At 41.5% G+C, this 25,884-nt stretch overlaps 1 long non-coding RNA gene across 3 annotated transcripts; it reads left to right on the forward strand.

Moving 5' to 3' along the window:
• On the forward strand, positions 111-21,057 carry LOC107985959 (uncharacterized). Of its 3 annotated transcripts, none has more exons than XR_007087282.1 (5): positions 111-218; positions 17,246-17,449; positions 18,515-18,586; positions 19,428-19,542; positions 20,785-21,057. It is a non-coding gene; the product is annotated as an uncharacterized LOC107985959 (long non-coding RNA). The 3 variants fall into 3 exon arrangements; XR_001739765.2 differs by lacking the exon at positions 20,785-21,057 and adding an exon at positions 695-812 and having other exon boundaries at positions 19,428-19,465; XR_001739763.2 differs by lacking the exon at positions 20,785-21,057 and having other exon boundaries at positions 111-812; positions 19,428-19,465.
• Positions 21,058-25,884: the final 4,827 nt, after the last annotated feature.

Genomic DNA, 25,884 nt, shown 5'->3' on the forward strand with positions numbered 1-25,884 from the left:
CCCTCCCTGCTCGCCCTGCGCCTTGGCCCCAGACGATCAGGCTTGCCGGAGGACGCCCCCTGGGGACCCCGAGGGCGGGGTCGTTGAACGGCCGCCAGGTTCTCACATTCAGAATTCTCCTGCCACCAAAGAGAACCTGAAGTTCATTTACAAGTTGACGAGCGGGATACCTACATGGTGTCCCTTTGCAAGACGCCAGTTAGAAAATAACCCAAGTTGTAAGTTTCCGGCGCTTTACTTGCCGGTATCCCTTTCCCACCTTGCCTAATCTAATCGCAGTCCTTCTAGTTTTTCTTAGTAAATGAAACTTGATTCCTTAGGTCTCTGGCTGTTCAGACTTCATTTTTTCCAAGCCGCCTGGATCCCAGGGAGGCGATTTAAGGGGCTGTGGAATTAGAATAAGACATGCAGGAGAGGTTTAGAAAGTTTGCTCAAATTCTACACCCTTAATAATTGCCACGTTAGCCCGTGAGGACACTGAGGCCAGACATCAGGCGTTTCTTTAAGAGCGTATACTTGGTGGGGAAATAATTTATTGGGGCATGAATAAACTGTGTTGGAAGCTTTTAATTGCTGTTTTTTCAACACCCCAAAAATAACCTCGTCTGTAAAACTGCTATGGTAAAACCATAGGTTTTCCTAATTATAGGTGTCATATTTAACAGTGAATGTTCTCTGTGTTCCCTCCGTGGAGGTGACCAGGATCCACCGTTCTTGTCTCCAACTGAAACGGGGCAGTAAACCAATAGTATTGGTCGTTTGGCCAAGATGATCTTGTCTGGTTCTCATTGCTAGGACTGCTGAAGAAATAGGTAAGAATAATGAGGATGTAATAAAAACTCTAGGGATATCATGATTTTGTCTCCCGAGTGTATGTACAGAAATCTCACTAAAATTTTTGAAAGATTATTCAGAAGAAGCCCAGAAATTTATTAGGAAAGTTAGTTGTCTAATCAAAACATTGATGTCCACTGAAGATGAGGGCACTTAATCTCTTGGAGCATTACAAAAGTTGGAGTAAAGCAGCTACCTCGCTCTGGTCTTGAAGCAGAAGTTCATGCTGAACTAAGTGTACATTCTTTGATGCGGAGGACTTCAAAAACTGTGTCTTGTCATGTCTGTCAAGAAACAGAGCCCTTCATAAACAAATTCTAGGCCTCTGAGGAACAGGGGAGCTCTTTATACCAAGCCATGGCTGCTGACCTCTTCAAGTGCTGCCTCCACCCTACCCCAAAGAACTTTTAAGGACTGTTTTTAAAGGAAAAGAAAAATGATCAAATGAATATGACTTCCATTTTGTCATATGAATTTCTATTTTTGACTTTCAAACCATGAAGTGGGATTATGAAGACCAGGAATGTTCTTGGGACTTAGTAGGAAAACATGATGCCGTCAAGATCAATATCACAGAATTGAATCAAACACAGATCAATTAGTCTCCCACAAAAAGCAACTGTTCCCCAGTCACAGACTACATGTCGGTCTCTAGTCAACCGCTTTCCAAATGGCTACCAGGATGAAGACTTGCTTGAGTGGATGACTCAGTGCACATCCATCATTTCTACAGTAAATCGGTTTAAAGAAGAATGTCCCCTGGCATTGCTCTTTGGCATCATTTTTATAAATGAAGAACAGAATATGAATAATATTTTAAAATTATACAAAAGCATTAGAGTTAATGTTTCTGTAAACAATTGGGTAAAATGGTACTTAAAACTTAGAAATATATGTTTTTTAGAAGTATTCAACTGATATGCACTTTTCCCGGAAAATCCATTACTAAATTTAAATTGAAAGATGGGGATGGAGGCGGGTGCCTTTAAAATATAAACAAGGTTTATTTCAATGCATAAAGAGTACATTCAGTGAGCGATGTTAAAAATAGAAAGGAAAAATAAGGGTCTAAATGTTTTTAAAGTGTATCCAACTGCCTCATGATGTGTCAGGGTTTCTCAATCTCAGCGCTGTTTTGTGTCAGATAGTTCTCTTCGTTGTAGAGGTCTGTTCTCCTGTGGTATGGTCTGAATGTTTCTGTCCCCCCAAAATTCATATGTTGACACTTAATCGGCAGTGGAATAGTATTAAGAGCCTTTAGCAGGAGATTGGGTCATGAGGACAGAGCCCTCCTGAGTTAGATTAGTGCCCTTATAAATGAGGCCGGAAGGAGCTTGATGAGGATGCAGCTAGAGGCATTAGCTATGAAGTAGAGGGCAAGCCCTCAGTAAATACCTAATTTGCTGGCACCTTGATCTTGGACTTTCAGCCTCCAGAACTGTAAAAATGAATTTCCGTTGTTTGTCAGCTACCCAGTCTAAGGTATTTTGTCATACCAGCCAGAGCAGACAAAGGCACCCTGGCCTCTATGCACTAGATGCCAGTGGCAACCCTGCTGCTGACATTGTGACTATCAACAATGCCTCCAGACATTGCCAAATGTCCCCTGGAGGGTAAATAATGCTTTAGATGAAGTAAGTATACATTTTCATTTTATAAACAGATTATTGCAGTGGTTATTTGTATTACAAAGAGGTTTCGTAGAGTTCCATTATTTATTCATAAACCCTTTGAACATCTAAGAGAGGATGTGTAGTGAAGTGGCCAACGCCTTGAAGAAAGAAAGTACTGGATTCAAATCTGGACTTCGATGTTTTGTTTTGTTTTTTGAGACAGAGTCTCGCTCTTGTTGCCCATGCTGGAGTGCAGTGGCACAATCTCAGCTCACTGCAACCTCCACCTCCCAGGTTCAAGCGATTCTCTTGCCTCAGCCTCCCAAGTAGCTGGTACTACAGGTGCCCACCACCACGCCCAGCTAATTTTTGTATTTTTATTTATTTTTTTGTTTTTGTTTTTGAGACAGAGTCTCGCTGTGTCACCCAGGCTGGAGTGCAGTGGCGTGATCTCAGCTCACTGCAAGCTCTGCCTTCTGGGTTCACGCCATTCTCCTGCCTCAGCCTCCTGAGTAGCTGGGACTACAGGCACCCGCCACCACGCCTGGCTAATTTTTTTGTGTTTTTAGGAGAGACGGGGGTTTCACCGTGTTAGCCAGGATGGTCTCGATCTCCTGACCTTGTGATCCACCCGCCTCGGCCTCCCAAAGTACTGGGATTACAGGCGTGAGCCATTGCGCCTGGCCTATTTTTGTATTTTTAGTAGAGACGGGGTTTCGTGTTGTATTTTTTTGAGACAGAGTCTTACTCTTGTCACCCAGGCTGGAGTGCAATGGCACGATCTCGGCTCACTGCAACCTCTGCCTCCAGGGTTCAAGGTATTCTCCTGCCTTAGCCTCCTGAATAGCTGAGATTACAGGTGTGTGCCACCACACCAGCTAATTTTGTGTTTTTAGTAAAGATAGGATTTCACCATGTTGGCCAGGTTGGTCTCACACTCCTGACCTCTCAGGTGATCCACCCACCTTGGCTTCCCAAAGTGCTTGGATTACAGGCGTGAGCCACTGTGCCCAGCTCAACAGTTTTTCTAGAGACAAGGTCTTGCTCTGTCACCCAAGCTGGAGTGCAGTGGCATGATCATGGCTCACCGCAGCCTCGAGCTCCTGGGCACAAGCAATCCATCTTCCTCAGCCTCCCAAGTATCTGGAATTACAGGTGTGTGCCACCATGCCCAGCTAATTTGTATTTAATTTTGGAGAAGCAGGGTTTTGCTATGTTGCCCAGGATGGTCTTGAACTTCCTGGTCTCAGGTGATCCACCTCAGCCTTCCAAAGTGATGAGATTATAGTGTGAGCCACCATGCCTAGCCTCATTTTTTTTAAGTCTCTGCCTTTGGACTTACTTCACTCTCTGAGTCTCAGTTTTCTCCTGTGCAAAAATCAGTACAATAATAGCTTCCACATGGGTTGTTATAATGGCTTAGGATAATGGATGACACATAATAGAAGTTTAACAAAATGGAAACCACCACCACCATCATCATCATTATTCCTGTCTGCCAAGATTTGTAGCAAAATATGTAGTGCAAAGATATATAATTACAAGAATGAACTTTGCAGAATATAAGCTCCCTGAGGGCAGGATTTTTTGTTCCTTTGGTTTACTGCTGTATCCCAGTACCTAGAAAAACACCTGGCACAGAGGACACTCAGTAAATATTTGTTAAATGTTAATGTAACACTTTTTAAATACATAAAACATACTTTTAAGCATCAGAATGAGTCAGCACTGGCAAGGGTGGATTTTATAGGAGGAAATTGGAGGCAAGGAGACCTATTTGGAAGCCATTGCAATAGTCAAGTTAGAGAAATGTAAATATTAGCTATTATATTGAGGATAATGATGAGGAAAGTGGCTTTAAAAATTATTTATGGAGCAGAGAAATAGAACTTGACGACAGACAGATAAGATTCTTTTAAAAGTCAAATTGCCCCAATGCATTAAAAAAGTGGATGTGCACAAATGCAATTTATAAAATGTTTTAGAAATGCATCCGTGGGAGAAGTGAGAGGTTGTCTTGACAGATGATGATTTTCCCATGGCTAAAATGTAATCTAACACAAAAGCACCATCATTGCATGGTGGAAAATAGTCAGGTATCCTAAGGTCTGAAGAAAATCGATCACCGTCATTTGTCATGGCCAACTCTTTCATACCCACTATTTTGGTAACTCTGAGTGAAAAGTTGTGAAAGAGCTGGACTTGGGTTATAATAATTGTTTCCAAAGACAAAGATCAAACTTTTTTTGAATGAGGGTAATGGTAGGGCATGATGGAAAGGGCATGGCTGAATTGAAATCCCTGTACTACACTTTCTAGCTGGTAGTCTAAATTTTCTGAGCCTCTGTTTTCTTAAAATTGGGACAATTAGCCCAGGACTGTAAGAGCTATGTAAGAATTAAATGAGCTAGTATGGGCAACACGCCTGACCCACACACACGTTGTAGTGGTACAGTGGATGGCTCCGGAATTTCTGACTAGGAGGGCCCAGGGGTAGTAGTCTCAGGGGAAGGTAGGTATTAAGGTTGAATCATGTCCCCTAAAAGAGTTGAAGTCCTAAGCTCAGGTAGTTGGGAATGTGAACTTATTTGGAAATAGAGTATTTGCAGAGGCAAAGACTGGATTAGTCTGGGCCCTAATGCAATGACTGGTATCCTTATAATAAAAGAGGAAATTTGGACACAGAGACAAATAGAAACACATACACACACACACACAAGGAGAATGCCATGTGTTGATGGAGGCAGAGATTGGAGTGATGTGTCTACAAGTCAAGAATGCCAAAAATAGCAGGCAATCACCAGAAGCTAGGAAAGAAACAAGGAACAGATTTTCCCTCAGAGCCTCCCATAAGAAATCAACCCTGCCAAGGGTTAATTTTGGCCAGCTAGCCTCCAGATTGTGAAAGCATAAACTTCTGTTGTTTTAAGCCCCCCAGTATGTGTATTGGTTACAGCAGCCTGTCAACCTAAATAACAAACACAGAAGGAGACTTTAAAAGAAAATGATGCTTATTTTGGAATAGGGTTCTTGTACATAGTAAACTGTGGGTATTCAGGGAGATAAAAGTTTTTTGTTTGTTTGTTTGTTTGTTTGTTTTAAAATGAGGAGTCAATAATTGTTTTCAGATAATTATCCTTGGCTACAAAGATGAATAACAGGGGTAATACCAGTCTGAGGTTGGACAGTTGTTGGGCAGTTGTTGGGCAGACGTCCTCACAGAAGTATTGTGTGCCTATATGTGTGCGTATAAAGTTGCAATGGCCTTTTTGCAAGGTTGTGGTTTTTGCAGCCTTTTGTGCATGAGAGCCCTCCCTTCCTGTCCTTCTCAGTTCTACTTGTCAGGGTTTTTGCCACAACTCCATTTTGATTCTGACAACTTTCAGAAGCCTTAGGAAACTAGACAGTGGAATTATGGGATTTGCTCTTTAGCCAGTTGCATTTTATTTGAACTGGCTTTAGCAATGAGCACTAATGAAAATTAGCCACTGCTGGCTGGGTGCAGTGGCTCATGCCTATGATCCCAACACTTTGGATCACCTGAGGTCAGGAGTTTCAGACCAGCCTGGCCAACATGGCGAAACCCCGTCTCTACTAAAAATAAAAAAATTAGCCGGGCATGGTGGTGGACGCCTATAATAGTCCAGCTACTTGGGAGGCGGAGGCAGGAGAATCGCTTGAACCCAGGAGGCGGAGGTTGCAGTGAGCCGAAATCATGCCGCTGCGCTCCAGCCTGGGTGACAGAGTGAGACTCCATCTCAAAAAAAAGAAAAAAAAAACGAAAATTAGCCACTGCTTTAGAACCGACTGTCTACCAAAGCCGTGGACTTTACAGCTTGCTTTTAATATTATTGTAAATGAGAAGAAAACTGCAAACATAGTAACTATCTGAATGAATTCTCAGCAGTGACAGCAAATGTCCATCTGAAAAATGCATTTGAAAATGTATGACCCTTTCCGACTTTGAAGACCAAGCCATCTCGCACTGAACATAATAACAGAAGTGTCATGTGCCTTCCACTGACACAACTAATGCTATTACCCAAAGTCCAGAGCTGGTGTAACTCAATTTTATTAGGATTAGCACAATTTAGTGTTCAGGTGTCATTACTACCTATTTCCCAACAATAAACAGAAAGAGGATTTATTTTAGATTGAATTATTGCAGAGACATTGCATTTTAAATTCATCACATGGATTTAATGGGTTAAATTTATAAGAATTATAACTTCCAGACATGTTTTCATTTATTTCCCAACCAGCTATTGAAATTGACTTTCTATTGCATTTTATATTACATACAAAATAGCTCTGGTGACAGTTAATGTCTTTTTATTAATGTCAGAAGTTTCTGACCCTGATTTGGGTACTGATAGAGTACTCACTAGAAGCCCTACTATCTCTACCCATAGGGGAAGACTTCCATATTTAGCAAGGATTGCCCTTGGCTAAAACACCAGAGGGCATTATAGTCATCTACATGGCATACATATTTCTTTCATGCTGTCATCTGTCTAAAGCCTGATAGTCCCGTCCCAGGCAGAATGACATAAAAATGTAATTTAAAGCAATTGATTTTTTAGTGCAATCTCTGTTGAAGAACCACTTCAAGAGGAATCCATTCATTACACATGAAACAGCAGTTTCTGAAAATATTTTGTTTATCCCTCTCACCTTCAGATTCTTACAAATACCAAGGATGTCTGAAAGCCTTTTACTTCTTTTCTATTCAAAAAACTTCCCACCAAAACCACCATAAGCCCTAAACACTCTTCTATCTCTGCCCCGGGCCTCCCCTGCCAGGCTCAGATCTTCATCTGGAGAGACATCTTGGGTTGTATGTATTCTGAAAAATAAAGGAGAGCCAGGGACTGGCCTGGCTTATTAAAAAGGATGTATGTAGTAAAACACAATTTAACTAATTAATATTCATTCATTCTATAAATACATTCTTAAGGATTAAGTGTGTGGCACTTTGCCAACTGCTGTGGGTAAAATAGGCAAAAGGATCTCAGCCCTTAAGAACTCTATATAACTTAGTGAAACTCCACTTTATCCAGTGTCGAGGCTTCTGGAGCTCCAAAACATGTGAATAACACTTAAACTAGCGAGAGTGGGCCAGGTGAGGTGGCTCACGCCTGTAATCTTAGCACTTTGGGAGGCCGAAGCAGGCGGATCGCTTGCGGTCAGGAGTTCGAGACCAGCCTGGCCAACATGGCGAAACTCCATCTCTGCTAAAAATACAAAAATTAGCCAGAAATCTCTTGAACCCAGGAGGTGGAGGTTGCAGTGAGCTGAGATCGTGTCACTGCACTCCAGCATGGCTGACAGAGTGAGACTCCACCTCAAAAAAAAAGAAAACAAAAACAAAAACAAAACTAGGGAGAATCGTCCAAACCAGAGGTAACAGAGATGTATTATGATGGGTCAGGTTTACTGGTCAAAATAACTTCTTTTACTATCGATTGACAAAGTCTTTAAAACAAACAAACAAACCCAGGTCCTTCTGGTACTAAAGTCAAGAAAAAAAATGGCAGGGCATGGCAAGAAAATAAAAATGAAAACCAGAGAAAAGAGAGAGCAGAAGGAGAGGCAGCAAGAGATAAGAGTGAGAGGCAGACAACTTTGGCATTTAGCACTTAGGAAAGGACAGCAGAAATGGCCTTGAGGAGAGAAAAGAATTGGAGTGGAAGGAAGTTCAGTATCAGGGGCCAGATCCGCATCAAAGGAGACACAGTCCAGGTGCATGCACATATGTCTACACAGCGTGACTAGTGGGACCATGTCACACCAAAGAGTCTTGGCCCAGTAAGGCACATTGTCCTGCCAGAAAGCTAGTCCCGCACTGCCAGACCTTCCTGTTGTTTCAAGAGAAGCCAACAAATCTGATTTCATGTGAAATTTCTCAGCTTTAAAATATTGGCCCATCTTTATAAAATACTGTACAGAATCTGATACCATACACTTAATGTTTAAAAACAAGAGAACAACACTAAATGTAGTCTTTGAATAAATATTTAGTGAAAAGTGATTGGAATGATAAATTCCAAATCCAGTTGTTACCCCTGGAGAGGGAGGGAGAGAAGGAAGGAAGGGGAAAGGTACACAAAGGGCTTCTATTGCATCTATGTTGTTTTATTACTTTAATAAAAATGTGTAAGAAATAGAGCAAAATAATAAGATTTGTTAGACTGGATGGTAGGTGTGTGAGTTTTTATGACATTATTCCCACTGTTCTGTAGGTTTGAAATATTTCACAATCTAAAAACAATAATACTTTGCAGGACAAACAAAACGTTTGTAGTCCACATCAGGCTTGTGGAGCACTATTTGCAGACTTTGCACAGCATGTTTTAATGGGCATAGAGCCCATACTTACATCAGACCAGGAAGAACAGCCTTTTGCTTGTCCCCAGAGTAAGGCGCAGGTGATCCAGGTGTTCTTCAGCCTAGCTGAGTATCAGAGTCACCTGTGCAGCTTGTCAACAATTCTTATTCCTGGGTCTCACCTGCATTCTACCAAACTATAGTCTGCAGGTAGAAGTCAGGCATCCAGGTGACCCAAAAGTTTAGCCAGAGTTGAAAATAACTATGGTAGCCCTGAGAACATCACTGTGACACATGAAAGCCACACCAACTAGCAAAGCACAGGGGTCAGAGAGCTCCCAAGAGGGTGGCAATTTTAAAAGGCTCAATGGTCATGGTGGCTTTCCTGAATTAGACATAACAAATGACAATTAAAGCAAAATGACAAAAAGAAGTAAACCTGTGATGGTTAATAGTGAGTGTCAACTTGATTGGATTGAAGGATACAAAGTGTTGATATTGAGTATGTCTGTGAGTGTGTTGCCAAAGGAGATTAACATTTGAGTCAATGGGCTGGGAAAAGCAGACCCACCCTTAATCTAGGTAGGTACAATCTAACCAGCTGCCAGTGAGGCTAGAATATAAGCAGGCAGAAAAATGTGAAATGAGAGACTGGCCTAGCCTCCCGCCCACATCTTTCTCCCATGCTGGATGCTTCCTGCCCTCGAACATCGGACTCCAAGTTCTTCAGTTTTGGGACTTGGACTGGCTCTCCTTGGTCCTCAGCCTGCAGATGGCCTATTGTGGAACCTTGTGATCATGTGAATTAATAATAAACTCCCCTTTATATATACACACACACACACACACACACACACACACACACACACACACACATATATATATATATTTCATTAGCTCTGTCCCTCTAGAGAATCCTAATACAGATTTTGATACCAGGAATGGTTCTAGAGGAACAGAATATTAATGATGGAGTTCTTTCATTGGATTTTGGGTTTCTGGAGTTGGCTGCTTAATATGATTAGACCCAGAAATGCTACAGACTCTACTTCTAATAGTATGGAGAACACTGATAGTCCTTGGTGTGAACTGCTTAGAGAGTTATGCAATATAAATGCATTTGACACTCCTGATTCATTGCTCGTGAGAGGCAAGGAGTTTAGTGACTCTTTACTTAATACCTTTGACCATATGTGGTGAACCAAGGAACATAATGAAGCTGGTTGGTTGCTCCTAAGTTCAATGGACAATGTGATGAAAGAAAATGATGAACTCATGGATTCTATCTCCCAGCTTCAGAAGCAGATACTGAGCCTCAAATCTGCTAAGAATGCCCTGAGTGAGAGTCTTATCTTCTGTAGAGAAAGAGCTGAAATTGTGGAAAAACAAACACAAGAGCCCTTATCATGCGAGTGGCTGACTTGGAATGAAAGGTACATGCACAGCCTCGCTTGGTGTCTACTGTTAAAGTGAGGGCATTGATCAGAAAATAATGGGACCCTGCAACTTGGAAGGGAACATGTGGGAGGACCCTGATGAAGCTGGGGACACTGATTTTGAGTTAGTAAACTCTGATGAACCGTTTATTTTGTTTATTTATTTATTTATTTATTTATTTAATTTTTGTTTATTTTTTTGGAGATGGAGTCTCACTCTGTCGCCCAGGCTGGAGTGCAATGCCACAATCTTGGCTCACTGCAACTTCTGCCTCCCAGGTTCATGTGCTTCTCCTGCCTCAGCCTCCTGGGTAGCTGAGATCATAGGCACCCACCACCACGCCTGGCTAATTTTTGTATTGTTAGTAGAGAAGGGGTTTCATCATGTTGGCCAGGCTGGTCTTGAACTCCTGACCTCAAATGATCACCTGCCTCAGCCTCCTAAAGTGCCGCGATTACAGGCATGAGCCACCGCACCTGTCGTGATTAATCTTTTTTTGCCAGAAGGAAGAGCTTCCCCATCCCCAGTAGTGGCAACATCCCCTCCCCCACCCATTCTGCCATCAGCCTTTCCACCTTTGTCTGAGGAGATAAACCCTGCCTGCCTAAGGCAACAGTGATGGCCTTCCCTGAGGCAGTTGCCAGGCAAGATAATGTTGATTCTCCTCAGGAGCCACTCCCAACACCCCTGTTTGCTTATAGACCTATAACTAGACTAAAGCCCTGGTGGGCCCCTAGAGGTGAGATTGAGATTGTGACCCATGAGGAGGTGTGCTACACTGGAAAAGAAAGGCTTGAATTTTCTAATTTATATAAACAGAAATCTGGAGAATGGTCATGGGACTGGATATTAAGGGCGTGGTATAATGGTGGAAGGAACGTAGAGTTGAATCAGGCTGAATTTATTGATTTGGGTCCACCTAAGTAGAGACTCTGCATTTAATGTTGCAGCTTGGGGAGTTAAAAAAGGTTCTAACAGTTTATTTGCTTGGCTAGCTAAAATATGGATTAAAAGATGGCCCACTGTGAACGAGCTGGAAATGCCTCATCTCTCTTGGCTTAATGTAGAGGAAGGGATCCAAAGGCTTAAGGAGATTGGGATGGTGGAGTGGATTAGTCACTTTAGACCTACTCATCCTAGCTGGGAAGGTCCAGAAGATATACCCTTGACCAATACCTTGTGAAATAGATTTGTGAGGGCAGCACCTGCATCTTTGAAGAGCCCTGTAATTGCTCTTCTCTGTATGACAGATCTAACAGTGGGAACCACAGTCACTCAACTACAAAATTTAAATACAATGAGAATGATTGGATCCCAAGGTGTCAGGGGCCAAGTGGAGACACTCAACCATCAAAGGCAAGGTGGGCATAGCTATCAAAATGGACAGCAGAGGCAAAGCAGCCATCAGCATAGTCTGAGTTGTGTAGAGCTCTGGCGTTGGCTAATTAATCACATTATACCTAGAAATGAAACTGATAGGAAGCCTACTGCATTCCTACTTAATTTATATGAGCAGAAAACTTCTAGGTGGAATGGACAAGAGACTAATTTGAATTATAAAAACAGAGAATGATGGCCCCTCAGTCAATTTCAGGACTTGAGCCAGTTTACAGACCCAGAACCCCTTGACTGAAGGGGAGGCTGGGCCCCCTTGAGGAAGGACCCCACTGCATTACCAACAATTTATGCAGTGAATCTTTCTCCCATCCTCCCCCAGGTAGACTTTTGGCCTTTTACCAGGGTAACTGTGCATTGCGGAAAGGGAAATTATCAGACATTTTGGAGACTACTGGACACTGGCTCTGAACTAACATTGATTCCAGGGGACCCAAAACGTTACTGTGGTCCTCCAGTTAAAGTAGGGGCTTATGGAAGTCAGGTAATTAATGGAGTTTTAGCTCAGGTCCGACTTACAGTGGGTCCATTGGGTCCCTGCACTCATCCTGTGGTCATTTCCCCAGTGCCAGAATGCATAATTGGCAGAGACATACTAAGCAGCTGGCAGAACCCCCACATTGGCTCCCTGACTGGTAGGGTGAGTGCCATTATGGTGGGTTGCATCCCTGGAGGGATTGCAGCGATTAGTGTCACCAGCAAGGACTTGAAAGATGCAGGGGTGGTGATTCCCACTACATCCCCATTCAACTGTCCCATTTGGCCTGTGCAGAAGACAGATGGATCTTGGAGAATGACAGCGGCTTATCATAAGTTTAACCAAGTTGTTACTCCAATTGCAGCTGCTGTACCAGGTGCGGTTTCATTGCTTGAGCAAATTAACACATCTCCTGGTACCTGGCATGCAGCCATTGACTTGGAAAATGCCTTTTTCTCCATTCCTGTCCGTAAGGCCCACCAGAAGCAATTTGCCTTCAGCTGGCAAGGCCAGCAGTATACCTTTACTCTCCTACCTCAGGGGTATGTCAACTCTCCAGCTTTGTGTCATAATCTTATTTGGAGAGACCTTGGCCACTTTTTGCTTCTGCAAGATATCACACTGGTCCTTTACATTGATGACATTTTGCTGATTGGATCCAGTAAGCAAGAAGTAGCAGACCCACTGGACTTATTGGTGAGACATTTGCATGCAAAAGGATGGGAAATAAATCCAACTAAAATTCAGGGAACTTCTACCTCAGTAAAATTTCTAGGGGTCCAGTGGTGTGGGGCCAGTTGAGACATTCCTTCTAAGATGAAGGATAAGTTGCTGCATCTGGCCCTTCCTACAACCAAGAAAGAGGCACAATGCCTAGTGGGCCTATTAGGATTTTGAAGGCAACACATTCCTCATTTGAGTGTGTTACTCTGGCCCATTTATTGAGTGACCTGAAAGGCTGCCAGTTTTGAGTGGGGTCCAGAACAGGAGAATGCTCTGCTACAGGTCCAGGCTGCTGTGCAAGCTGCTCTGCCACTTGGGCCATATGACCCACCAGATCCAATGGTGCTTGAGGTGTCAGTGGCAGATAGGAAAGCTCTTTGGAGCCCTTGGCAGGCCCCCATAGGTGAATCACAGCAAAGGCCTCTAGGATTTTAGAGCAAGGCCCTGCCATCTTCTGCAGATAACTACTCTCCTTTTGAGAGACAGCTCTGCCTGTTACTGGGCTTTGGTGGACACGGAACGTTTGACTATGGATCATCAAGTCACCATTGGACCTGAACTGCCTATCATGAACTGGGTGCTTTTTGACCCATCTAGCCATAAAGTGGGTCATGGACAGCAGCATTCCATCATCAAATGGAAGTGGTATATACGTGATCAGGCTTGAGCAGGTCCTGAAGGCACAAGTAAGTTACATGAGGAAGTGGCTCAAATGCCCATGGTTTCCACTCCTGCCATCCTGCCTTCTCTCCCCCAGCCTGCGCAGATGGCCTCATAGGGAGTTCCCTATGATCAATTGACAGAGGAAGAGAAGACTAGGGCCTGGTTCACAGATGGCTCTGCACAATATGCAGGCACCACCTGAAAGTGGACAGCTGCAGCACTACAGCCCCTTTCTAGGACATTCCTGAAGGACAGCGGTGAAGGGAACTCTTCCCAGTGGGCAGAACTTTGAGCAGTGCACCTGATTGTGCACTTTGCATGGAAGGAGAAATGGCCAGATGTGCAATTATATACTGATTCATAGGCTGTAGCCAATGGTTTGGCTGGATGGTCAGGGACTTGGAAGAAGCATGATTGGAAAATTGGTGACAAAGAAATTTGGGGAAAAGTTATGTGGATGGACCTCTCTGAGTGGTCAAAAACTGTAAAGATATTGTATCGCATGTGAGTGCTCACCAAAGGGTGACCTCAGCAGAGGAGGATTTTAATAATCAAGTGGATAGGATGACCCGTTTGGTGGATACCACTCAGCCTCTTTCCCCAGTCACCCCTGTCATCTCCCAGTGGGCCCATGAACAAAGTGGCCGTGGTGGCAGGGATGGAGGTTACACATGAGCTCAGCAACATGGATTTCCACTCACCAAGGCTGAGCTGGCTACGGCCACTGCTGAGTGCCCAGTTTGCCAGCAGCAGAGACCAACATCAAGCCCTCCACATGGCACCATTCCTCGAGGTGATCAGCCAGCTACCTGGTTGGAAAGGGCAGAGGTTTGTCCTCATTGGAATAGACACTTACTCCGGATATGAGTTTGCCTATCCTGCACACAAAGCTTCTGCCAAGACCACCATCCCTGGACTCACGGAATGCCTTATCCACCATCATGGTATTCCACACAGCATTGCCTCTGACCAAGGCACTCACTTTATGGCTAAAGAAGTGAGGCAGTGAGCTAATGCTCATGGACTTCACTGGTCTTACCATGTTCCCCATCATCCTGAAGCAACTGGATTGATAGAATGGTGGAATGGCCTTTTGAAGTCACAATTACAGTGCCAACTAGGTGACAGTACTTTGCAGGGCTGGAGCAAAGTTCTCCAGAAGGTCGTGTATGCTCTGAATCAGCGTCCAATATATGGTACTGTTTCTGCCATAGCCAGGATTCACGGGTCCAGGAATCAAGGGGTGGAAGTGGAAGTGGCACCAACTCACCGTCACCCCTAGTGACCCACTAGCAAAATTTTTGCTTCCTGTTCCCATGACACTACATTCTGCTGGCTTAGAGGTCTTAGTTCCAGAGGGAGGAATGCTGCCACCAGGAGACACAACAATGATTCCATTAAACTGGAAGTTAAGATTGCCACCTGGACACTTTGGGCCCCTCCTACCTTTAAGTCAACAGGCTAAGAAGGGAGTTACAGTGTTGGCTGGGGTGATTGACCCAGACAATCAAGATGAAATCAGTCCACTACTCCATAATGAAGGTAAGGAACAGTATGCATGGAATATAGGAGATCCATTAGGGCATATTACCATTCCCTGCAATTAAGGTCAATGGGAAACTATAACAGCCCAATCCAGGCAGGACTACAAATGTCCCAGACCCTTCAGGAATGAAGGTCTGGGTCACTCCACTAGGAGAAAAATCATGACCTGCTGAGGTGCTTGCTGAGGGCAAAAGGAATACAGAATGGGTAGTAGAAGAAGGTAGTCATCAGCACCAGCTACAACCACGTGACCAGCTGCAGAACCAAGGACTGTAATTGTCATGAGTATTTCCTCCTTCTTTTATTAAAAACATGTTTGTGCATGTATAAACTTGTACCAAGAAAATAGCTTTTTATTTCCTTTCTCCTTTATCATGTGACATAAGATTTATTGACTTCACATCAGCATTTAAGTATTGTTAACTTCATGTAATAGTATTTAGGTTAGGGACTGGTGCGTTTCCAGTTGTACGAAGCGTAATTGTATTATGTTAGGTGTAATTATGACCTTATTATTGTCTTTATTTTAAGATTATGTATGATCTCAGGAGATTTGTATGGGTTCAAGTTGACATGCGGTGGACTTGTGATGGTTAATATTGAGTGTCAACTTTATTGGATTCAAGGATACAAAGTATTGATCCTGGGTGTGTCTGTGAGGGTGTTGCCAAAAGAGATTAACATTTGAGTTAGTGGGCTGGGAAAGGCAGAACCACACTTAATCTGGTGGGCACAATCTAAGCAGCTGCCAGCATAGCTGGAATACAAGCAGACAGAAAAATGTGAAATGAGAGGCTGGCCTAGCCTCCCAGCCTACATCTTTCTCCCATGCTGGATGCTTCCTGCCCTCGAACATCAGACTCTAAGTCTTGAACATCAGACTCTAAGTCTTCAGTTTTGGAACTCAGACTGGCTCTCCTTGGTCCTCAGCCTGCAGATGGCCTATTGTGGGACATTGTGATCATGGGAGTTAATACTTAATAAACTCCCCTTTATATATATACATACACATATATATTCCATTAGTTCTGTTCCTCTAGAGAACCCTGACTAATACAAAGCCTTTTTGAAATAAAAATGTGAAATAACTATTTGTTTAAAAGACTTTCATTTTTTTAGAGCAGTTTCAGTTTCACAGCAAAATTGAGAGGAAGGTACAGAGGTAACCCATATCTCCCCTGCCCTGACACATGCACAGCCTCTCCCATTATCAACATCTCCCACCTGAGTGATATGTTTGTTACAATCAATGAACTTACATCACATTGTTATCATCCAAAGTGAAAATTCTGTGTATGACGTTATAATGGTGGCTACATCTCATTATACGTTTATTTAAACTCATAGAATGTACAATACCAAGAGGAAACCCTAATGTAAACTATTTTTTATTTTTATTAAATTTTTGTTCTTTTGAGATGGAGTCTTGCTCTGTTGCCCGGGCTGGAGTGCAGTGGCATGATCTCGGCTCACTGCAACCTCCGCCTCCTGGGTTCAAGCAATTCTCCTGCCTCAGCCTTTCAAGTAGCTGGGATTAGAGGCACCACCATGCCCAGTTAATTTTTTGTATTTTTAGTAGAGATGGGGTTTCACTATGTTGGCCAGGCTGATCTTGAACTCCTGACCTCGTGATCCGCCCACCTCAGCCTCCCAAAGTGCTGGGGTTACAGATGAGAGCCACCGTGCCCGTCCTAATGTAAACTATTTTTTTCATCAAAATGGTTAGGATGAAATAATATTTAGTGCATTATTTTAAAGAAACAAACTCTTCATCTACCAACTACCATGTGTAAGCTTTCTGCATGGGAGTGGGGAGTGATGGAAAAATGAATGAGACAATGTCCCTACCCTCAAAGGAGCTTGACATCTAATGGGGCAAACAGACATGTAAACAGATAATTTGTGTCCTGGGGATAAGAAAAAAATTGCCATATGCATAAGATTACCATTTTGTCTTGAAGACTCCAAAACTAGAAATTCAAGTTATTTGTCCAAAAGGTCCTATTTCAACCATTCTCTCATGGCCTGGGCTGGGTAAAGAGACCACTGAAGTCAGCAGAAAAGAGCAGACTGGGATGGAAGAGCCACTGAAAACAGTTTAGACTTTATACAGTGTTAATCTAAGAAGGATTCTAAAATGATGCATTTTGGGAGAATGTTCTTGCCTTAATCAGCTTTATCCACAAAAATTAAGCTTTTTTTAATATAAAGGTTTTATTTTCTTTTAAAGGAGCCATCAATGTGATTTTGTCTTTGGGAACCCCACATGTGAATGAATCACCGAATGAATGAATGAAATTTTAATCCTTATAACAAAGATAAGGCTGGATCCTAATATATTGCTTTAGGATGATTTTCAGGAAGCTCTACAATTCCAAGCATTTCCTCTCACAACAATTTAATAAAAATAGTTAGAGTTTATGGAGATATTGTGGTAAGTATTTTAGATATGTTGTCTCACTGGACACTCACCTACAACCAGATGATGGAGATTACATTATGTATATTTTTAACAGATGGAGAAACTGAATTTCACAATCGGTTAAGTGATTTAAACAGAAACTTAATGTTGGTTCACCTGCAGCAGAGCCAGGATTCAAATCTGCTCTAACTCTGCACAGCACTTCTCTATCTCTTCACAAAGGCATATGCATTTGTTATTTAAAATTAAACATTTTAACCAAATTGTATTAATTTAATTAAATTATTAAAATGACTACTGATGTGCTATGCAGTTCAATGCCATCTAAAGCCAGGAAGTAAGGCTACCGATAGCCAGAAAACAATCTCCAAGAATGAAGTATTCTTTTTTAAAACAATTTGTTGGTGATTGTCAGTTTAGAGATAAATGTTCCATATGTGCCTCTGTTTCTCCATCAAAATATTTTAAAAGTTAGCTCCAAAACTACCTTTATACACCCTTCACAATACTCTGTGAACCATAGTCACTGTTAATCTGTGTTTTAAAAGTGCTAAAGTAACTGTTAATTTGAATAATCAATATAAATAGTGTATTAGTTTGCCCCCCCCCGCCAAAATCAAGTACAAGCTACGTGACAGTATTTCATGGTTCATTAGCTAAATGGAACAGTTAATTCGGTCAAATAGTGAATAATCTTTAAATCAAGCCTTCTTCAAATACAAAGGATAGTGGCATATATAAGAATTCAAGAAAATGGAAAAGGCCAGGTAATACTATAGAACTTTGAAATATCTTTCAACAGATAACCCAACAATTTTTTCATATTTATTAACTTAGATTTTAAAAAATTACATAAAAACATGAAAGTCAATTTTGAAAAAAAGCTATTTTTCCGTGTTATTTTTAAGTCATGAATGCACACATTATTTGCATATTGACAATTGTAGCAGGCTTACTCTTTTGTGTTCCTATGGCAGGGCTGTTAAAGTAGATCAGTCCCTGCCTTATCTAGCTGTATGCATAAAGAAAGAACATTATTTATTCATCTCTCATGAACATTTTTGGCCCATCTTCTAGTTCCCATAGATGTTGTATGAATTTAACTCTGCATGTGAGATATTTGCTGCACTAAAAGAAAGACTTATGGAGGTAAGATCATGTGAACAAAAAGAAATTTTGGGCACCATTTTTTGTTGTTGTTTTCTTTAGTTTTTGAGGCAGGGTCTCATTCTGTCACCCCAGCTGGAGTGCAGTATTGCAATCACAGCTCACTGCAGCCTCAACATCCAGGGATCAAGTGATCCTCCCACCTCAGCCTCCCAAGTAGCTGGGTCTACAGGTGAATGACACCACACCTGGCTAATTTTATTTATTTATTTATTTATTTATTTTGAGACGGAGTCTTGCTCTGTCACCAGGCTGAAGTGCAGTGGCACAATCTCAGTTCACTGCAACCTCTGACTCCCTGGTTCAAGCAATTTGCCTGCCTCAGCCTACCGAGTAGCTGGGTTTACAGGCATGCACCACCACACGCAGCTAATTTTTGTATTTTTAGTAGAGATGGGGTTTCACCATGTTGGCCAGGATGGTCTCAATCTCCTGACCTCATGATCTGCCCACTTCAGCCTCCCAAAGTGCTAGGATTACAAGCGTGAGCCACCATGCCCTGCCCATTTATTTTATTTTTTGTAGAGACAGGGTCTCACCATGGTAACCAGGCTGGTCTCAAACCCCTGGGCTCAATTTATCCTCCTGCCTTGGCCTCCCAAAGTGCTGGAATTATAGGCATGAGCCACTGTGCCTGGACTATCTTTTAAAAGACAGAAAGAATGTTTACTATGAGGTGGAAAGCAGTATGCCAGTAGTCCAAAGGGTTGATAATCTACTGAAAGAATTAGAGATTTGTTCTTTCAAATAAGCCATTAACCATGGGAGTACTGGCTAATGACAAATTTAGAGTAAGAGTTTCTTTTTTTTTTTTTTGAGACAGTCTCACTCTGTCGCCAGGCTGGAGTACAGTGGCATGATCTCGGCTCACTGCAACCTCTGCCTCCCGGGTTCAGGCGATTCTCCTGCCTCAGTCACCCAAGCAGCTGGGACTACAGGTGCGTGCCACCATGCCCAGTTAAGTTTTTGTATTTTTAGTAGAGACAGGATTTCACCGTGTTAGCCAGGATGGTCTGCATCTCCTGACCTTGTGATCCGCCCATCTCGGCCTCTCAAAATGCTGGGATTAGAGACGTGAGCCACCGCGCCTGGCCAAGAGTTTCATAAAAATTACTTTCTTTTTAAGTATTTATTACATATACTGTAATAAAAATTAAAGGTAGAAAAGAGTATAGGGTAAAAATTAATAATCTCTCTTCATCCCTTATCTTCCAGCCACCTGGTTCTTTCTCCTAGAAGTAACTACTATTATCCCATTCTTGCATCCTTCAAGAGATACTCTATGCATATACAATTACGTTCATATTTTTTCTATACTAATAGTAATATATTATACATACTGACACATAGCCCATTTTTTTAACATAATTATTGTCTTTAAAAAGGTTTCATGGAGTCCTAGGTTTTTTAACCCAATTCTACACTGTCCATGTTTCCTTTTTTAAAAACTGAAGTATAATTTACTTTCACTAGCATCACAGATCCAGTTTGATATATTTTGACAAATGAATACACAGGTGTAACCAATGTCCAAAGCAAGATATAGAACATTTCAGAACTTTCTATTATTTTAAGAGCTAATTAATATTCCATTTATTTAGCCAAATCTGTTTTAATGGACTCTTGCTGTTACAAACAGGGTTGCAATGAATATGTACACATATGATATTGAGTATGTCTAAGTATACCTATGGGAAAATTCCTAGCAGTAGGATTGCTGGATCAAAGAGTATGTGCATTTTTAATTCAGAAGGAGAGTGGCAAAGTTCTTACTATAGGGGGTGTACTAATTTACACTCCTATCAATTTACAAAGGTTTCTTTTACAGCATACCACAGTCTTTTTTTTTTTTTTTTTTGAGGCAGAGTCTCGCTCTGTTGCCCAGGCTGGAGTGCAGTGGTGCGATCTCAGCTCGCTGCAAGCTCTGCCTTCCAGGTTCACGCCATTCTCCTGCCTCAGCCCCCTGAGTAGCTGGGACTACAGGCACCCGCCACCACGCCCGGCTAATTTTTTGTGTTTTTAGTAGAGACGGGGTTTCACCATGTTAGCCAGGATGGTCTCGATCTCCTGACCTTGTGGTCCGCCCACCTCAGCCTCAGTTTTTAAACTTCTTGACTTTTGCCCATTTGGGAGGAGGAAAAAAATGTGATTGGAGCTTGATTTTTGTTTCTCTCATTCAGAAGGAAGCTGAGAATCTTTTCTTGTGTTTAAAAGCCATGAAGCGGCTTCATTTTGAAGGAAAATTTGAGGAAAAGCAAAGGTATTATGAAGACTGTGTGGTGCATGTGGAGCAATGAGCAGAAAGAGAGATGGCTTGACATTTATTCTAAACTTTCAAGAGAAACTGGACAAAGTAATATGGTTTTGAGTACAATAGAAACCCGGAGAAACTTGATATTTTCAGCATGACCTGAAAAGATTCCAAAATCTTGAATAAAAAACTCCTCCAAGAACCTAAAGATCTCAGGAAGTATGCCTATCCAAATCTCAAGGGAAGCCAATATTAATTTGTTTCTTCAACATAAATGGTATTGTCCATGCTAAATTAATCCATAAGGTCAAATAGTCAGGCTCATTATGCAGGAATTCTAAAACATTTGTGGGATTGTGTGCAGCACAAATGATTACTTGATTATTCATTTTATTCACTACAGACCCTTTAGTCCTCTCCAAAATCTGAAAGTCCTTTAATCTCCTATAATAAATACCTCCCCTTTTAACTAGCTAAAATAGATCCTGTTCTTTGCAAAACTCCAACAATATATTTTTATACACTTTTTCCTTGAGTATTAAACTTCAGATTTTGCTTTTTATCATGGGTAAAAGAAAATGCTTCCCAATGTAAAACATACATCTTTCTTACCCAGTACTTCTGAAATCTCAACAGTTTCGTTTCCAATTGCTACTTCTGGGTCTATCAGTAAAGCCCTAATTAGACATAGCTGGAGGGAAGAGAGCTAACAGTTATTGAAAAACTACTGTATATAATTAGATAGAGCTGGGGGGAAGAGAGCTAATATTTATTGAAAAACTATATATGAGCGACTTTATTAATTAGGCAAGTACAACATGCTATCTGCATTTAACAGGTTAGAAAGCTGAGGCCCAGAAAAGAGAAATAACTTTAACAATATTTGTAGCTAATAAGTGAGAGTCTAATCAGTTTAACAGTAATGTTCTTTCCATTGTTCTACTGTTCCAAGAAATACTCTATTGGAGTGGGAGAGGGTAGTTGAAAGATTTTTAAGTATCCCTGATTGACAGATTAACATGGTATAAATGTTGTAATTATCCAGCAATAAAACCCAATTTAAAATAAAAACTTCAAAATCTAAGGGAGCATTGTTCTATTTAAGTAAGTCACATTGGGAACTATGTAGTTATTTTAAGTATTGCCCCAAGTATTTTGAATCTTTTCTGTCAGAATTGCCCTTAGAACGGGAGTCACACTCTTGAATATCCTCGATGGTGAGTTTTCTTTTCTTTTCCAGTTGCTTTTTTTCTTTTAGAAAATCAGAATGGCTCTGATTTTAAGGACCAGCCCAAAGTTGTTCACAGCAAAGTGTAGTGAATAAAAATGAGTAATCAAGCAATTATTTGTGCTGCACCCAATCTCACAAATGTTTTAGAATTTTTGCATAGTGGGGGGTTGGGGGTGAGGGGAGGGAACTCAGAGGATAGGTCAATAGGTGCAGCAAACCACCATGGCACACGTATACCTATGTAACAAACCTGCGCATTCTGCACATGTATCCCGTTTTTGTTTTATTTTTAAGAAGAAAAAAAGAAATAAAAAAAATTTTGCATAATAAGCTGGACTGTTTGACCTTGTGGATCAATTCAGCGTGAACAATATGATTTCTGTTGAGAAAATGAATTGGTTAATCTTAAATCACATCCAGAATCCTAGCTGTAAGAGAGTCTGGGAAGTGTAGTTACTAGTTTTCCAGCCTTGTCAGGTTCATGATTATGCCAAATGTCATGTTCAGGGTCAGGTTCCAGCCCATGCTGAGGTTCAAGAGAGTGGGTGGATGAGCAGAAAGAACACTCAGGGGTCGTGGGCAGGTGAAAGATGATTTTATTCAGCAGCAGCTCTCATCAACAGATTTCTCATACTGTCTGCCCTGTCATGGCTACTTAGTCTGGTGGCCCCCACATGTAGCTGCACAGCTGGCTCTCCCTTGCCTTCAGGGTCAGCAGCTTAACTCTTTCTCTCTCTGGGCACAAGTGACCTGAGCTGTGTCCTGGCTCCCCTCTGTCTATCTGCAAAGATAGACAGGTTTGGCTCTCTCTCTCTGGGCACCAGTGCACCTGCATAGTATCGAGAGGGCAATTATGCCTTTTACAGACAATAGTGGCTTAGGCCAAGTGGTAGCCTTCCCATTATGGCTAAATGGCTGTGATAACAAGTGGAGTTATATGCCTGTACTTTAAACTCGCTAAGTCACGCAGGATGTAAACATCCTACCTTGGTCTATCCTTGACCAAAGCACGGCCATATTCCTTACAAGCCTCCGCAGTACAGGAAGATGGGATAAATATGAAGCACCAATCTACCATATCTACTATAGATTGTTCTTGAAATTCTTCCTTTTATTCAGAAATTACCATTTTAGAATTATTAAATCACTCACTTAATTTCCTCAACCCCAGTTATCACATCTGTATGAAACTATGATTGTATATGATCTCCAAGGTACACTCTAGATTTAAAATTCTGGATTTTTCAATCATTTTAACTATGTATAAACCTGTACATACATATTTTTCTACGTGTATGTATCCACATAGTTTTCTAGACATTCTCGAGAAAGGATACTAGTTTAGAATTCTACAGCGTTTCTATGCTAACATTTTCAATTGGCTAGAGTTTAAAGATGTGCATAGAGTATATTAACTCTTAGGAAGGGGAGAATTTGTGTAGGGATGTGTGGTGTGTGTGTATACATGCCCATGTGTGTAAATGTATTGTGCATGTAAATTCATTCAGCCAGCTAAATTTTCTAATGATCAGAATTCCACATGACTAGGGAAAAATAAACTGGCAGAAATTCAATACAAATATTAGAGACTGACAATGAATCGGACTATACTTGAAGTTTTTGTTTGGTTTTGAATTCTTACATTTGCTTCCTACATTTCTTTTTTTTTTCTAAAATGAATCAGGCCCATTAAACTTCACATGACTAAGGTTTTCCAGATCTAAAAATGAAATAGTAAGTTGTGTCTTGCCATGTTGAATAACTATTATAAAAGTATACATTTGTGGGCTGGGCGCAGTGGCTCACGCCTGTAATCCCAGCACTTTGGGAGGCTGAGGCAGGCGGATCACGAGGTCAAGAGATCAAGACCATCCTGGCCAACATGGTGAAGCCCTGTCTTTACTAAAAATTTAAAAAATTAGCTGGGTGTGGTGGCACATGCCTGTAGTCCCAGCTACTTGGGAGGCTGAGGCAGGAGAATCGCTTGAACCCGGGAGGTGGAGGTTGCAGTGAGCCGAGATTCCACCACTGCCCTCTAACCTGGAGACAGAGTAAGACTCCGTCTCAAAAAAAAAAAGTACACATTTGTATTATTAGCTTGGTAATTAATTATATATAAATTGGTTGATTACTTATAATTTTACCACTAATTTTATTTTTATACCAGGCAGGGATCTTTGCATACAATTTATTTCCTTAACATTTGGTATATTATCTGTCTATATAATACAAGGACTAGTGTTTGATGTAATGGATTTGCAAAAATGGCCACAAATTTTTCCATACTCCATATCTAAGTCTTTTCATGATGTAACGTTTCAGCTCCTCCCATTAATAGGTGGAGTTTCTTTTCCTACTACTGGGATCTGGACTAGTCTTGTGACTTGCCTTGGCTAATGGAATGCTACAGAAACAATACCTGCCAGTTTCAAGCCTGAACTTCAAGAGCCTTGCACATGTCCCCTAGCTCTTTCGTAAACTTGATGAGTGACAATGTACACAGCCTGCTAGAGATCAGAAACAACATGGAAGAGTGCCAAGACACTTTAGCCAACAACGAGCCATTCCTAGTCAACCCAGAAACTGATCACAGTCATGTAAATTAGCCCAGCTGAGACCAGAAGAACCACCCAGCTCAGCCTAGCCCACATTACTGACCCACAGAATCATGAATTAAATAAATGGTTATTATTTTAAAGACTATGTATTGGGGTGACTTGTTATACAGCTAACTACTAGTCTCAGTTAACTTTCTTTAAATTTTCTGACTCCTACAAAAATTTGAGTTATTTACTTTCAAGAATAGCACTCTATTTTCTACTCAAAATTAATGTATGTTAATTATAGAAAATTTGAATAGTACTGAAATGCAGGAAGAGGAATAAAAATAGTATATGGTATACTACTGTAAAATAACCTTAATAAAATTTTAGTTTATCTGTTACCAGTACATTTTCTAAATATAGAAACATTTTTATATAATTTGATATATTTGCTTTCTTTCTTTTTTTATTATTATTTCTTTTCTTTTTTTTTTTTCTGAGACTGAGTCTCCCCTTGTCGCCCAGGCTGGAGTGCAGTGGTGTGATCTCAGCTCACTGCAAGCTCCGCCTCCCGAGTTCACGCCATTCTCCTGTCTCAGCCTCCCGAGTAGATGGGACTACAGGTGCCCGCCACCACGCCCGGCTAATTTTTTGTATTTTTTAGTAGAGACAGGGTTTCACCGCGTTAGCCAGGATGGTCTCCATCTCCTGACCTCGTGATCCGCCCACCTCAGCCTCCCAAAGTGCTGGGATTATAGGCGTGAGCCATCGCACCCGACCTCTTTTCTTTTCTTTTTTTTTTTTGAGACAGAGTCTTACTCTGTCACCCAGGCTGGAGTGCAGTGGCATGATCTCCGTTCACTGCAACCTCTGCCTCCCAGGCTGAAGCGATTCTCATACCTCAGCCTCCCCAGTAGTTGGGATTCCAGGCGTGTGCCACTGCACCTGGCTAATTTTTAAAAATTTTTTAGTAGAGACAGGGTTTCAGCATGTTGACCAGGCTGGTCTCAAACTCCTGGCCTCAAGTGATCTATCTGCCACCATGGCCTCCCAAAGTGCTGGGATTGCAGGTGTGAGTCACTGCGCCCGTGCAATTTGATGTATTCACTTTTTAAATAAAATTTTTATTTTAAAACATCCCTGAACATGTTTCCTTGCAATTGATGTTCTACAATTTTAAAAATGTTTGCTTCGTATTCCATCTTACATTAACTTTAAAATATTGTCAATTTAAAAAATCAATTCCAATTAATTG

The sequence above is a fragment of the Homo sapiens genome, chromosome 2, assembly GCF_000001405.40.
Source record: "Homo sapiens chromosome 2, GRCh38.p14 Primary Assembly".
In the NCBI taxonomy this organism is placed as follows: Eukaryota; Metazoa; Chordata; class Mammalia; order Primates; family Hominidae; genus Homo; species Homo sapiens.